Source organism: Homo sapiens, chromosome 17, assembly GCF_000001405.40.
Source record: "Homo sapiens chromosome 17, GRCh38.p14 Primary Assembly".
NCBI classification, from domain to species: Eukaryota; Metazoa; Chordata; class Mammalia; order Primates; family Hominidae; genus Homo; species Homo sapiens.
In genome coordinates, this window is record NC_000017.11 from 72,649,357 (window position 1) to 72,662,571 (window position 13,215).

At 51.4% G+C, this 13,215-nt stretch overlaps 1 protein-coding gene across 15 annotated transcripts in view; it reads right to left on the reverse strand.

Moving 5' to 3' along the window:
- The window catches only part of SLC39A11 (solute carrier family 39 member 11), a 446,740-nt gene that overhangs the window by 3,408 nt on the left and 430,117 nt on the right, over nucleotides 1-13,215 (reverse strand). The gene's annotated exons all lie outside the window — the stretch shown is intronic.

Below are 13,215 nucleotides of genomic sequence, written 5' to 3' on the forward strand. Positions count from 1 at the left end.
GGTGCTAGGAAGCCAGGAGGAGACCTGTGACCTGCAGTAGGAGAGGAAGGAGAAAGGTCAGGACGTGTGTCTAGGTAAAGAGCAGGGGCTGCAGGAGGGAGTGACGTGAGCCCTCTACCCATCATGCTGTCCTGGGTCCTGGGCAGGCTCTGTCCTTACAATGCTTTGCTACAGCACAGAACACACTGGCTGGCTCTCAGGGTGCCCTGAGTTCTGCCACGTGGCTGTATAACTGCACTTTTCATTTTACTTTCTACGCCTCTGTTTCTTTTTCTTTTTTTCTTTTTCTTTTTTTTTTTTTTTGAGATGGAGTCTCGCTCTGGAGACTCCAGGCTGGAGTGCAGTGGCATGATCTCGGCTCACTGCAACCTCCACCTCCCGGGTTCAAGTGATTTCCAGCTAATTTTTGTATTTTTAGTAGAGATGGGGTTTTACCATGTTGGCCAGGCTGGTCTCCAACTCCTGACCTCAAGTGATCTGCCTGCCTTGGCCTCCCAAAGTGCTGGGATTATGGGCGTGAGCCACGGCACCCAGCCTACACCTCTGTTTCTTGTATACAATTTAGGGACAACAATATCTACCATAAAGGATTGCTGAGTGACCCAGTGACCCAATAATGCCTATCACATCCTAGCATAGAGAGGTGCTTAATGCATTTTGGTTTCTATTCTGTTACAGCACAGAAATGAGTATATCACATTTTATTCAGAGGCCACTTCAGAAATGGGACAAGGAAGTGCAGCTGCAGACGCTGATGGTGCCACAGATCTGGCTCTGGGCTCAGCTTCTCCGTGGGCTCTGCAGGTCTGGCACCATCGCTGCATTTCTTTGGGCCCCAGTGGTGCTCACAGTGATCCTCTCACCTCCTGCCTCTGCAGGACAGTGACAGGCTGTGCTGATAGATGCCTGTCTTTGAGAAGCTGCTTTCTGCACAAACCAGGCATTGGAGTGTGAGAGGAGGGAGAAGCAAAATGGGATGCGTACAAATGCAATCTGTGACCACATGCCTGGCCTCAGGGGGCTTAGTATTTAGCCATGGAGACAACACAGGCATGTACATGAAGAACCCTTATTGTGGATGCTGCAAACTACAGCAAATCAGCCAAAAGTCAACTTGCACAGGAAACAGAGGCATGAGGGAAGCAGAGGAGGGAAATGGGGCCAGTCCGAGTGCCTTAGGAAGGCCCTTTTGCACGTGAGACTCTACCTTGGCCGGACAGTTCCAAGAAGCAGCCCCTCCATGAAGGGCCATCTGATCAACAATGATCTAAAGGGCGTGAGAAGAGGGTGCCACTCGGCAAGCAATGCTGGTGTGTGGCCCGAGGGAATTGTGGGTAGATTAGATAGAGAAGAGAAACTCCACCATCACCGACTTTCAGGTCAACTGGCTCACGTCCATCCATCTTGCTGCCAATAGGAATCTACCCATTGCTGCAAGGGAGTGTTGTAGACTGGTAGCTGGGACCCCTGCCTATGACCTGCCCCAGGCTCCCGGGACTGGGACACACTCGTGGCCCTGAAGGTCCTGTCAGGCCTGATCCGGCTGAGGCCCAAGTTCCAGCCTCTAACAAAGAACACCAAGGCGAATCCCCAGTTTAGCATCTGACCTCCATTTTGTTTCAGGGTTTGGCCTTTACCCTGTTTTTTTTACCTTTATCCCCCAACTCCTGCACATGTTTCATTGAGGTTCGTAGTTCCAGATACCTCAGGAAGAAGTAGCCCCCACCTCGAGTCTGCCAGTCAAGTAGACTCTTAGGAAAAGTCCAGCCCTAACAGAATCTCATACCTGTCACCACTTAGCTCACATGTGGTTCATAGAATTAGTGCCCATCCCTTTTTGACAAGATTACAATGAGCCCCTCAGCATCTACCCATCAGCTTAAAATCTGCCCCTGTGTGCAACAGCGTTGAGAGCCACTGGCCTAAGCAGGCATCATGGGAGGTGAGGATGAGGAAAGCAGTCAAGCCCACCCCCCTCCCAGGAGCCCCTTCCCTGCTATCCCAATTCCCAACACAGGCTGGGAGCCGAGGACACCTGTGGCCACTACTGAATGCATCAGGAGCCTGCAGCCCAGGGTGCTTACTGTATACAAGATCTGATGTGGAGAGCTCTGGAGGAGATCCGGAGCAACACAGGACAGGAGTAACAAAACAGGTGGCATTAGGGGACATGGATATGTAACAGAAGTGATGGAGAATAGTGAGCACCCCGTGGCAGGGATGGTCCCCCTAGGGTGGGGTTGGGGGAAGAAGCCCTGAGCTGACTTAGGAGCTGTGGGGCCTAGACTGGCTGGGGGTGGGAAACTGTGAAGAGGGACAAAGCAGCTTCCCCAGGGGGCATCTGAAAAGTGATAGCATCCGAAAACTGATCAGTTCCTTAATAAAGGAAATATTATGGTCTCTTGGGACTGACAGAAGCATTGAGCCTGTCTCTCCAACCTGCAGGCAGAACTGTTCATGAAGTGGAGTGGACAGACAAGAAGACACCCCACCACACCAGCCCAGGACATGTCCACAAAAGCTGCATCACTCAGCATTTCCCACGAGTCTACCCAAATCCCTGTCTATATCACCCAAGTTTGTGCTCTCCTTTGACTCCTTAGAGAGGGGCTCAAACATGCTCCAACTTCATCCCTGGATCTAGGGGGCAGCAAACTTTTTCTGTCATGGGCCAGATAGTAAATATTTGAGGTTTTGCAGTCCACTGAGTCTCTGTTGCAACCACTCAACTCTGACATTGCAGGTGCAAAAGTGGCTATGGACAGTACATAAACCATTGAGTGTGGCTGTGTTCCAATAAAACTTTATCTACACAAATGAGTGGGGGGCCAGATTTGGCCCATGGGCTGCAGTTTGCTGACCCCTGCCCTGATAGCTCAGTGGCTGCAGAAAGATCTGGCAAGATGAAACCACAGACCCTGGGCATTGCAGACCCTATCTCTTCTTATGTTCTCATGGCCATGCATGTGGTAGTTGAAGTTTGGGCTTTGCAGTCTGACTTCTTCTGTCCAAATCCTGGGTCTGTGCTTTGTTAGCTGTGCTACTTTCCATTTCTCCAACTGCAGAATTTGAAGAACAATACCCACCCTCACTTCACAGCGTTGCTGATATGATTACCTGGGATGGTCCCTCTCAAGCCCTTAGCACACGGGAGCTAGTATGCAGTAAGCACGTAATCAATGCCTGTCCTGGGGTGAGGGTGAGTGTTATCACTGAGGTTGCAGCGTGAAATAACAGAGACAGGGACTTAAAGCTTTTCCAAGAACTCATGCGTCCTCTTTCCAAGAGAGACTAAGATTTTCTACCCTAAAGCCAAAACTCATTCCTCTGCAAAGCTCTGTTTCAAAGAGACCTGGCTTGGCTGTTTTGCTTATGGCTCATCTATGCTTGAGTTTCCATCGGCACTCACTCATTTGCTCTTGTTGACACTTGTGTGAGATTTTTACATCACTTGTAAGATTTTGGTGAGAACCACTGTGCAACCTGAAGGCATTTCAGATACTGTGTTCCTATATACTGCTTGGTCTGTTTGGGTTGTACAGAAACTCCCGGGAGATGTGGATTCTTGCTTCTCCTAGGCTGGCACATATAGAAGAATTCCTTCTATCACCTCCAGACCCCCCTGAGCCCCAGTAAATGTCTGGAGGCTGGACGCTTCCCTGGGCACAGAGGAGGGGAGAGCTGCTGGAAGGGAGTAGGGGGCATTCTGATGAGCCTGGTGGGCTTGACTCTTCTGTTGCACGCTTTTTTTTTCTTTTTTTTTTTTGAGATGGAGTCTCGCTCTGTCATCCAGGCTAGAGTGCACTGGCACGATCTCAGCTCACTGCAGCCTTCACCTCTGGGGTTCAAGCGATTCTCCTGCTTCAGCCTCCCGAGTAGCTGGGATTACAGGCATGTGCCACCACACCCCCCTATTTTTTTTTTGTATTTTTAGCAGAGACAGGGTTTCAGAATATTAGCCAGGCTGGTCTCAAACTCCTGACCTCAGATGATCCACCTGCCTCAGCCTTGAAAAGTGCTGGGATTACAGGTATGAGCCACTGCACCCTTTTTTTTTGTTTTGGTTTTTCTTTTCTTTTCTTTTCTTTTTTTTTTTTTGAGAAGGAGTCTCGCTCTGTCACCCAGGCTGAAGTGGTGCAGTGGCGTGATCTCAGCTCACTGCAACCTCCGCCTCATGGGTTCAAGCGATTCTCCTGCCTCAGCCTCCCCAGTAGCTGGGATTACAAGTGCCCACCACCACGCCCAGCTAATTTTTGTATTTTTAGTAGAGATGGGGTTTTACCATGTTGGCCAGGGTGGTCTCGAACTCCTGACCTCAGGTAATCTGCTCGACTCGGCCTCCCAAAGTGCGGGATTACAGGTGTGAGTCACCTCACCCGGCCTGCTGCACTTTAAAGTATGGAAAGCTCCATTGGATAATTGAGCCCTGGGGGTCACCTCTGAAGATTTTGTCCTGGGCAGCTGGGGACAGTTTTACACTTCCCTGAGAAGTGCTTCTAGGAGGTGAGGCCCTGGGCAGGAAGTCAACTGTAGCTTACATATCCTCCACATAGTCTTGATCTGTCCTAGTTCAACAGGAGAGAAGGATTTGGAGAAATGAGACAGGATGAAAAAGGAAATCTAGCTACAGATGTTTAGGAAAAAGGTGTCATTCTGGTCCCTTGTGTTTAAAATGTGCGTGTGTGTGCGGAAGGGTGGGGCATGGGGAGTGAGCGGGTGGCCCTGCTTAGCCATCTTGCTTTTCCTTATTTTCTGGGTCCCTAACATGTCTTCCTAGCCAGTCTATAGGGGCAGGACAAAAGGGTCAGGAGCTCTCTTCCTCACCTTGAAAGGTCCTAGGCTCCCCTCTTCTGCTGCTCTGCCAGGGAGGGTGATGGGTGCCGCTTCTGGCATTGGGTATAGGATCGGAGTTAATGGCCTCACTTCTTCCCTCTGGGGCCCCAGGCCTAGGACTCGAAAGCTAGCTTTGGAAGACACTGTTGAACGTTGCTTCAGTTATAGGATGCTGACAAGCGTGTTCTAACCAGCCCTGGGCAGAAATGCGGCCTGTTCTCGCAGCTTCTGCTACCAATTTCATGTGCAAGCTGACCCTGAGCTCCTATTCCAGGAGTTGGAGACATGTGAATATATTTATGTTGAGGACAAATTCTTAAGGATAAATTCTTGCCAATATTTCATAAGCCCCTGCCCCGCCTTCCCAGATAGACCCTCAGGGGGGCCCCTTCCCTGCGACTTTGTTCAGCATCTCCTTGTAGCCCTCAAAATGGTTGAGTGAATACAACCAGCTTCCTTGACCTTTTGCAAAGTCCGAAGTGCAAGGTTTCTTTCCAATGAGGAAGGCCAAGGCTTCTGATATCTTGGGCTTTGCCAGGCACTTGGTGGCTGGCTCTCAGTCCGCTGCCATTGCCTGCACCTCATATTCACAGGCAGGCACACGAAGGTAGCCGCAGAGTGACCAGCCCAATGTCACTGACAAATCAGAGGTGGGGCTCCCCATCCAAAGTCCTCGCCGTGACATAGCGCTGACTACAGCCATCGCCCGGCGGGCTGTGGGAGCCTCCTCCACATCCTGTCTGGGAGCCACCATCCTGATAAGCAGCACAGAAACCCCATTCTTCCATCCCTGGCAAGCCTCGTTACCTCTGCCTTGCCCCAGCCCTGGCACGGGGCTGCCAGCCCAAACAGCTGCCATGCCCTCTGGATCCTGCCAGGCCTTTCTCAGCAGGGCATTGCATTGCTGGGCGGTCAGAGTCCCTCCTGACACTCCTGGGCTCCTTTGCTCCCCAGCAGGGGCTGGCACCACAGTTTCTCTGCCTTTCCTACCTGTCATGCACAACACTGCCTAACTGGGCTCTCCTCCACACACCCGTGCACACGCACAGGCCCATCCAAGTTCCCTCGCCCCGCTGCTTGTTGGGCATTGGTCAGAGGCCCACTGGTGGGGGTGGCCCAGTGGAGGACACAGTCCCTTCCAGCCCTCTCCTCTTCTTCAATCACCTGCATCAGCTCCAGAGTGGGATTTGAATCCACGGCTCTCAGACCTGACGACACATGCCAGTCACAGGGAGCACCGGCAAATGCCGATGCCTCGGCCCTGCCCTGGAGATCTCGGTTTATTGCCGTGGCATTGGGCCCCCTGTGTGCAGATTTTAAGAGTGTGCGAGGGCGTTGAGAGCCACTGGCCTAAGCAGGTGTCAGAGGAGGTGAGGATGAGGATGGAGGCCAAGCCCGCCTCCCTCCCAGGAGCCCCTTCCCTGCTATTCGAATTCCCAACACAGTCTGGGAGCCGAGGACACCTGTGGCCACTACTGAATGCATCAGGAGCCTGCAACCGGGGTGCTTACTATATACAAGATCTGATCTGGGGAGCTTTGGAGGAGATCTGGAGCAACTGAGGGCAGGAGCAGCAAAGCAGGTGGTATTCGGGGATATGGATGCATAACAGAAGTGACAGAGAATATTGAGGACCCCGTGGCAGGGATAGTCTCTCAGTGGTAGGGGGTGAGCCGTGAGCTGACTTAGGAGCTGTGGGGCCTAGACTGGCTGGAGGATGGGAAACTGTGAAGAAGAACAAGGGCAGCCTCCCGGGGGGCTGGTGGCGTGGAGGATGCCCCAGGCTCACCAGCTCCCCTCCTGCAGCCCTGCTGTGCATTCCTGCAAGGCCTTCAGTCTAACTAAACACTCTGAGCTGACGATCCTGGGCAGGTGGGGTTGGTGGGCCATTCCCTCCCTCCTTTACGCTCTGGGAAGGGAAAGGTCAGATGAGAGGTTTCCTTTCCAGGATGGGCCATGAAAATTCAAAACAGCATTCAAAAGCCACGGGGAAAATACAAACCCATGCCCTTCTGAAGACAGTGAAGCTGCTGTCTTCTGGGTTCTGTTCCTCCCCAGCAGTAGCACAAAGACACTATTACTAGTCTGGACCACGACACATTAATGGGAAGGAGAGGGAAGTGGAGATGAAGGGCTCTTTTAGAAAAGAAACCGCAGGCTGTCCCCTGACAAGGTCCCTTGTCCCTTCCGTGACAAGCCAAGTCCCATGGCAACCTGTCACCGGAGCCTGACTGAGAGCAACAAGGCAGAGATCTCTCGAGAAGGGCCAGGAGAGGGGCATCCGTGTGTAGAGTGGGACAGGAGAGGAGAGAGGGAGCGTGGAAAGGGAAGGAGACGGGGGAGGCGGGAAGGGAGGGTCGACAGGGCAGGGAGTCATTGGGGAGGAGGATGACTCCTGGGGTTGGGCTGCACCAGCAAGGACAAGAGCAGCCCTGACAGGCCTCTCCCGGGGAGGTCTGTCTGCAGGGGCTGCCTCATGGAGGCAGAGTTTGCCTCAGGGCATCCAGACTTCTCTTTTCCTTTTCCTTAGGAATCAGAATTTGCTAGGAAGGGACAAAACCAGAGAACCGCGAGGAAGGGGGGTCCCATCCAGCATTGGGGGAATCAGGGTTTATTTTTAAAGTTCATTTCCTATTATATGTTTATTTTTATTATTTTTTTTAAACATCGAAGGCCGGGCATGGTGGCTCACACCTGTAATCCCGGCACTTTGGGAGGCTGAGGCAGGAGGACTGCTTGAGGCCAGGAGTTTGACCAGCCTGGGCAACATAGCAAGACCCTGTCTGTATATAATAAATAAAAATAAATAAAAAAGAGAAAAAAGAAGAACAGCAAAGAACACAATTATCAGGCATATTTCAAAATCATTCCTCAAAAAAATAAATAAATAGGCCAGGCACGGTGGCTCACGCCTGTAATCCCAACACTTTGGGAGGCAGAGGTGGGCAGATCATGAGGTCAGGAGTTCAAGACCAGCCTGGTCAACACGGTGAAACTCCGTCTTTACTAAAAATACAAAAATTAGCCAGGCATGGTGGTGGGTGCCCGTAATCCCAGCTACCAGGGGAGCTGAGGCATGAGAATCGCTTGAACCCGGGAGGCAGAGGTTACAGTGAGCCGAGATAGCGCCACCGCACTCCAGGCTGGGCAACAGAGTGAGATTCTGCCTCAAAACAAACAAACAAACAAACAAAAGATAAATAAATAAATAAAAATAAACATCAAGGAGGAGCAGAGATGGAAGAGAGAATGGCAAGAAGGAAGACTACAGAAGATCACTTGACTGCCCTGACTTTGGGCAGGAGTGAGTAGCAATGGTTTACCTCATTAGAATGTACAGGCCAATATGTTAAGAGGTCAGAATTCCCTGAATACAGTGTCCCTTTTGGGACAGGAACTAGGGTGCCCAACCATTCCGGTTCACCAGGGACTGAGGGGTTTCCCAGGATATAGGACTTACTCAGTGCTAAACCTGGCACAGTCCCCAGATAACTGATGTGAGTTGGTCACCCTCAGAAGTAGTCAGAAACAGGGTAGGTGGCAGAGGCAAGCTAGGGTAAGAATTTTAATTTTCCACAGGGGATATATACAGAATCCTACAAGCTAAGCAGATGTTTGAAAAAGTAAAAAGCCCTACCTAAAACTCGCAATGGTCTGATGCAAATTTTGACCGCTTTTAGCCCCTTGGATCTACTGCCCTCTAGAGAGCCAGCTTCCCTGAAACCCTCACCAGCCCCATTGATGCTGGGTGGGTCCTTGCGGGCTGCTGTCTCCAGCCCAGCCCTGAGTGGCATCCAGGAACTGGGCAGGCACGGCAGAAGCAGAAGGGATGGCCTCCCTGTAGGGACAGCAGCAGACACTTTGCTTTCTTGGGTAGGGACATAAAGAAACAATTCAGGCTGCTTAGGAAACCCCCAGAGGTGACCTGTAAGGAAGTGGGGAAGGCGCTGGGCCTGAGCACAAATAATGAATCCTAGAAGATGGAGGGGGGCTGGGCCCACAAGGGGTGCCAAGGGAGTGTAGGCGGGGGAAAGGTGCCCATTCATGGGCTTGGCCTCTCCGTGGGCTGGATGCAGGGGCAGAGGCGGACAGTCTGAGGTACTTTTCCAGAGGTCTCTCATCCTTTGCTCTTCCAACCTGGTAGAGGCTGAGGGCCAATGGCCAGGGTCCCATCCGGGTGCTAGGTAAGAAGGGCCTCCCTCCTCGTATCTTCAGGGAACACTAATCCCAAGCAGTGGGCAACAGGAAGAAAGGCATCCCCGGTGGGCAGTTGTTTCTGCTTTTTCTTAGAGGCCTGACCCTGTTTCGCCCCAGGGGCTGACTTCTCTTCTCCAGCATCCTCCTCCTACTACCCCCCACCCATCACCCATGTTAAAAGTTAGGGCCCTTGGAGGTCGCCTGGCTCAATGCCTTGATTGTTAAGATTGTTAAGGTAGAAAAAGGAGATGCAGACAAGTACAATGCCTTTGGAGGCCCTGTGATGTGTAGTGCCAGTCAAACATATGAGTCAAACACATCTGGGTGGGACCCCAGGTGCACAGGTGGGACCCAGTGCAAGCTACAGATCACTCAGCCTTTCCTTTAACTGAAAAATGGGCATAAAACTCCCCCACCGACAGGGCTCTTGTGTGGATGGCAAATGATCACTGTGAAGTGCCAGGCTTATCTCGGAGCCCAGAGTGGGTGCTCTTTAAATAGCAGCCACTGTTAAAACTGCCCGAGGCTGCTGAATGAGGCGGTGATGAGCTGGGCACTGAAGCCTCCTATTCCCCCCAGACTGGTGACCTCCCAGCCACACACCAATTTCTTCTACAAAGGGTGTGCCTTAGCCTTCTCAATTATACGACCTCCTGGGCAGAACCATGTCCTGCAGTGGCAACTTGGCCACCTGGAAGCCTCTTCTCAGGAGTCACTCCAGAGTCAACCGCTAAGCCCTGGCCATGTGCAAGAGCTCATGCCACATATGAAGAAAGACATTTGGAAGGTCCCTGTCTTCAAGGAACTTATAATCTGATACACAGCAAAAGACCTGCCTGCAAATGACTCCAGCACAGCACGGGACTTGCTAAAGGCCATAAGATCTAGCACAGAGCATTAGGGGCGAGGATGATTTTGGCGGAGACAGATGATCCAGGAAACCTTTGTGGAGAAAGCAACATCCAAGATGGACTGTGAAGGATGGGGACAATTTTAATAGATAAAGATGGGGAAATGCATTTCATCCAGAAAGAAGGAACAGAGAAAGCAAAGATGTGAGATGATCTGGCGGGGTGAGCTAGGTCTTCCTTTCTCTCCCCTTCTCCAAGTCCAAGCCAACATACAAACAAAAATAAAACATGCATTCGAGCCAAGGCCTATCTCTCTTACACGTGTCCTCTGTGACTCTTTTTTTTTTTTTTTTTTTTTTTTTGGAGACAGAGTCTTGCTCTGTTGCCCAGGCTGAAGTGCAGTGGCGCGATCTTGGGTCACTGCAACCTCTGCCTCCCGGGTTCAAGCAATTCTCCTGCCTCAGCCTCCCAAATAGCTGGGATTACAGGCACCTACCACCATGCCTGGCTAATTTTTATTTTATTTTATTTTTTTGTATTTTTAGTAGAGACAGGGTTTGACCATGTTGGCCAGGCTGGTCTCAAACTCCTGACCTTAGGCAATCTGCCCGCCTCAGGCTCCCAAAGTGTTGGGATTACAGGCTTGAGCCACCATGGCTGGCCCTCTGTGATTCTTTCTTAGCTGAACCTGCTGGATTTTTAGGGAAAACCTGAGTGTTAAACACCCCAGCCATACCTCAGGTGTTTTCCAAGGCCGGAGTGCGAAGTACCACCCCAGGGGTCCCTATACTATCTTTGGGAGGCAGATGCCTGTGCTGAGTGAGTTACTCAGGGGTGTTCCCTTGAAATTCATTTATTAGCCATCTCCACTCAAACCTCAATGTCTCAGGCCTTGAGCTTGGGAAATGCTTCCAGCTCGTGTCAGCAGCAGCACAGAGCATGTGCCAGGAGCTGTGCACAGCACTGGAGACCCCACTGCAACCGCCTGCGGTTGAAACCAGCTCAAGTCTTTCATTACCGCACCCATCAGAGGCAGCCCGAGGTCCTCCGGCTAGAATAAAAATGACGATAACCACTGCTGTTATTTATTGAGTATTACTACGTGCTGGGCGTGCTTGTAAGCATATTACATGTAACAACATGCCTTGCCCCTCAACCACCTCATGAGCAGCTTTCACCATTATTCCCATTTTACAGATGGAGAAATTGATGCTCAAGGAGTTAAATAACTGGCCCTGAAGGTTGTGGAGCTGGGAAGTGACAGAGCAGGGCCTCCTAACTGCTACTGTGTACACATACCGGGTTTTCTGGGCCTCATGCAGACCCATCGAACCATATGGAGATAGGGGCGGACGCTGCCCGACACCCACTTGGCTAGTGAGCTGAGGTTCTGGCCTCTTCTGGTCAACAGGGAGGGCAGGCCAGACTCAGGGGGTTTCGAGCCAGAGACCTGCAGGGTTTAATGGAGTGGAACGTGCCATCCACAGCGGGATTTCTCAACCTCACCACTACTGACATTTCACACCGTGAGTTCCTTGTTGTGGGGGCCTGGTTCTGTGCAGTGTAGGATGCTTACCAGCATCCTCGGCTCCTATCTGCTAGATGCCAGCAACAACCTCTCAGCTGTGACAACCAAAACGTCTCCAGACATGGCCAAATGTCTCCGGGGAGGGGGAGGGGACCAACCCTGATTGAGACCCACTGACCTTGAGTAAACATGTTAGATGAGCTTGCTTCCTTAGCAAATAGCTGGACGACAAAAACTGCTCAGACTGAGTGTGGAGAACACCTGATCTCACGCATCTCATTTGAGAATTTCTAGCCTCAGTGGAGTGCAGGCTTCTAGGGAACTTAGCTATGGCACGACAGATTTGGGGCTGAGCAACCACCTTTGAGAACCACCAGGCCTCAGCTCCCTTAGTCCAAAGCCAGTGGTCACTCTCAAAGCTCACTGTTGCACAATTCCAGGGGTACTTTTCACCTTGTGTTCTCTGACCATGGCGCCCCCTGGAGTTGTGCAGTGGGACACTCCTGCTTGAGCGCAGATTGCTGCTCAGCCTGGGGTGTAGTTCTGGGGTTCGAGGTGCACGCTCTCAGGAGAGGTAGTGGAGAGAGTCATGGGTTTCTCTGAGAATTGGCAAGCGAAGGGACGGCAACCTGCAGCCTTGCTCTCCAGGCTATATTCCCTGGCCGGTTGATTATGAAAGGAGAATGGCATATCCCTGACAAGCCCTGCTTCACCCCGGCTTTCAGATCCTCCCATGTGCGATGAGCGTGTGTGTTCTTGTGTGGCAGGCCCTTACATACTGTTTTGATTGTTATCATCTTGCCGTGAAAGGCCTGATTGTTCAGGCCTGGAGATGACATCACCGGCTTCCCACTAGGGCAGCCTGTCGAGGTGTTTGATGAGCCTGCAGGTGGGAAGGGGCTGGGTACTCCCCGCAGGGCTGCCCGGCCCTACCTGCTCAGAGGAGCTGGCTTAGCACGCAAGGGATCTTCCCCCACCCTCTTGGTGCAGTTCTCGGAAACTTCTTGGTGCAGGCTGGCGAGATGAGATGACCCATCCATTCCCTTACAGTCTGCTGCCTTCCTTCGAGGGGGTGAGGAAGAGCCCAAGGAAGTCAGCCGGAAGGCAGGGTGGTGGCTGAGGGTGATTCAGGCCACCACTGTGCACTTCTCCCTGCAGAAGTGTAGACAAACCGCCCACATTTCTATGGGATCACTGACTCCCAGAGGAATGCTCTGAAGACCTTCACCTGCTAAGTGTCCCAGCAAAGCAAACCAATCCTATGGGCTAGCCAAGTATGAGGCTGCCTCATACAATGTGGTGGGGGCACACATCTGAGAGCAATGTGCCTCTGTAGCCATCAAAAGACACATCTTAAACTGGGCGCAGTGGTTCGCGCCTGTAATCCCAGCAACTCAGGAGATGGGTGGGAGGACTGCCTGAGCCCAGGAGTTTGAGGCTGTAGTACTATGATGGAGCCATGGCAGTCCAGCCTGGACTGGCCAACAGAATGAGGCCTTTTTTTAGAAAGAAAAGAAAGGAAGAAAGAAAAGAGGAAAGGAAGAAAGAAAAGAGGAAAGAAAGAAAGAGAGAGGGAGAGAGAGAAAAGAAAGAAAAGGAAGGGAAGGAAAAGAAAAGAAAGAAAAGGAAAGAAGGAGGGAAGAAAGAAAAAGAAAGAGAAAGAAAGAAAAAGAAAGAAAAGAAAAAAAAGAAAAAGGAAGGAAAGGAAGGAAAAGAAAAGAAAGAAAAGGAAGGAAGGAGGGAAGAAAGAGAAGAAAGAGAAAGAAAGAGAGAAAGAAAGAAAAGAAAAAAGAAAAGAAAAGAAAA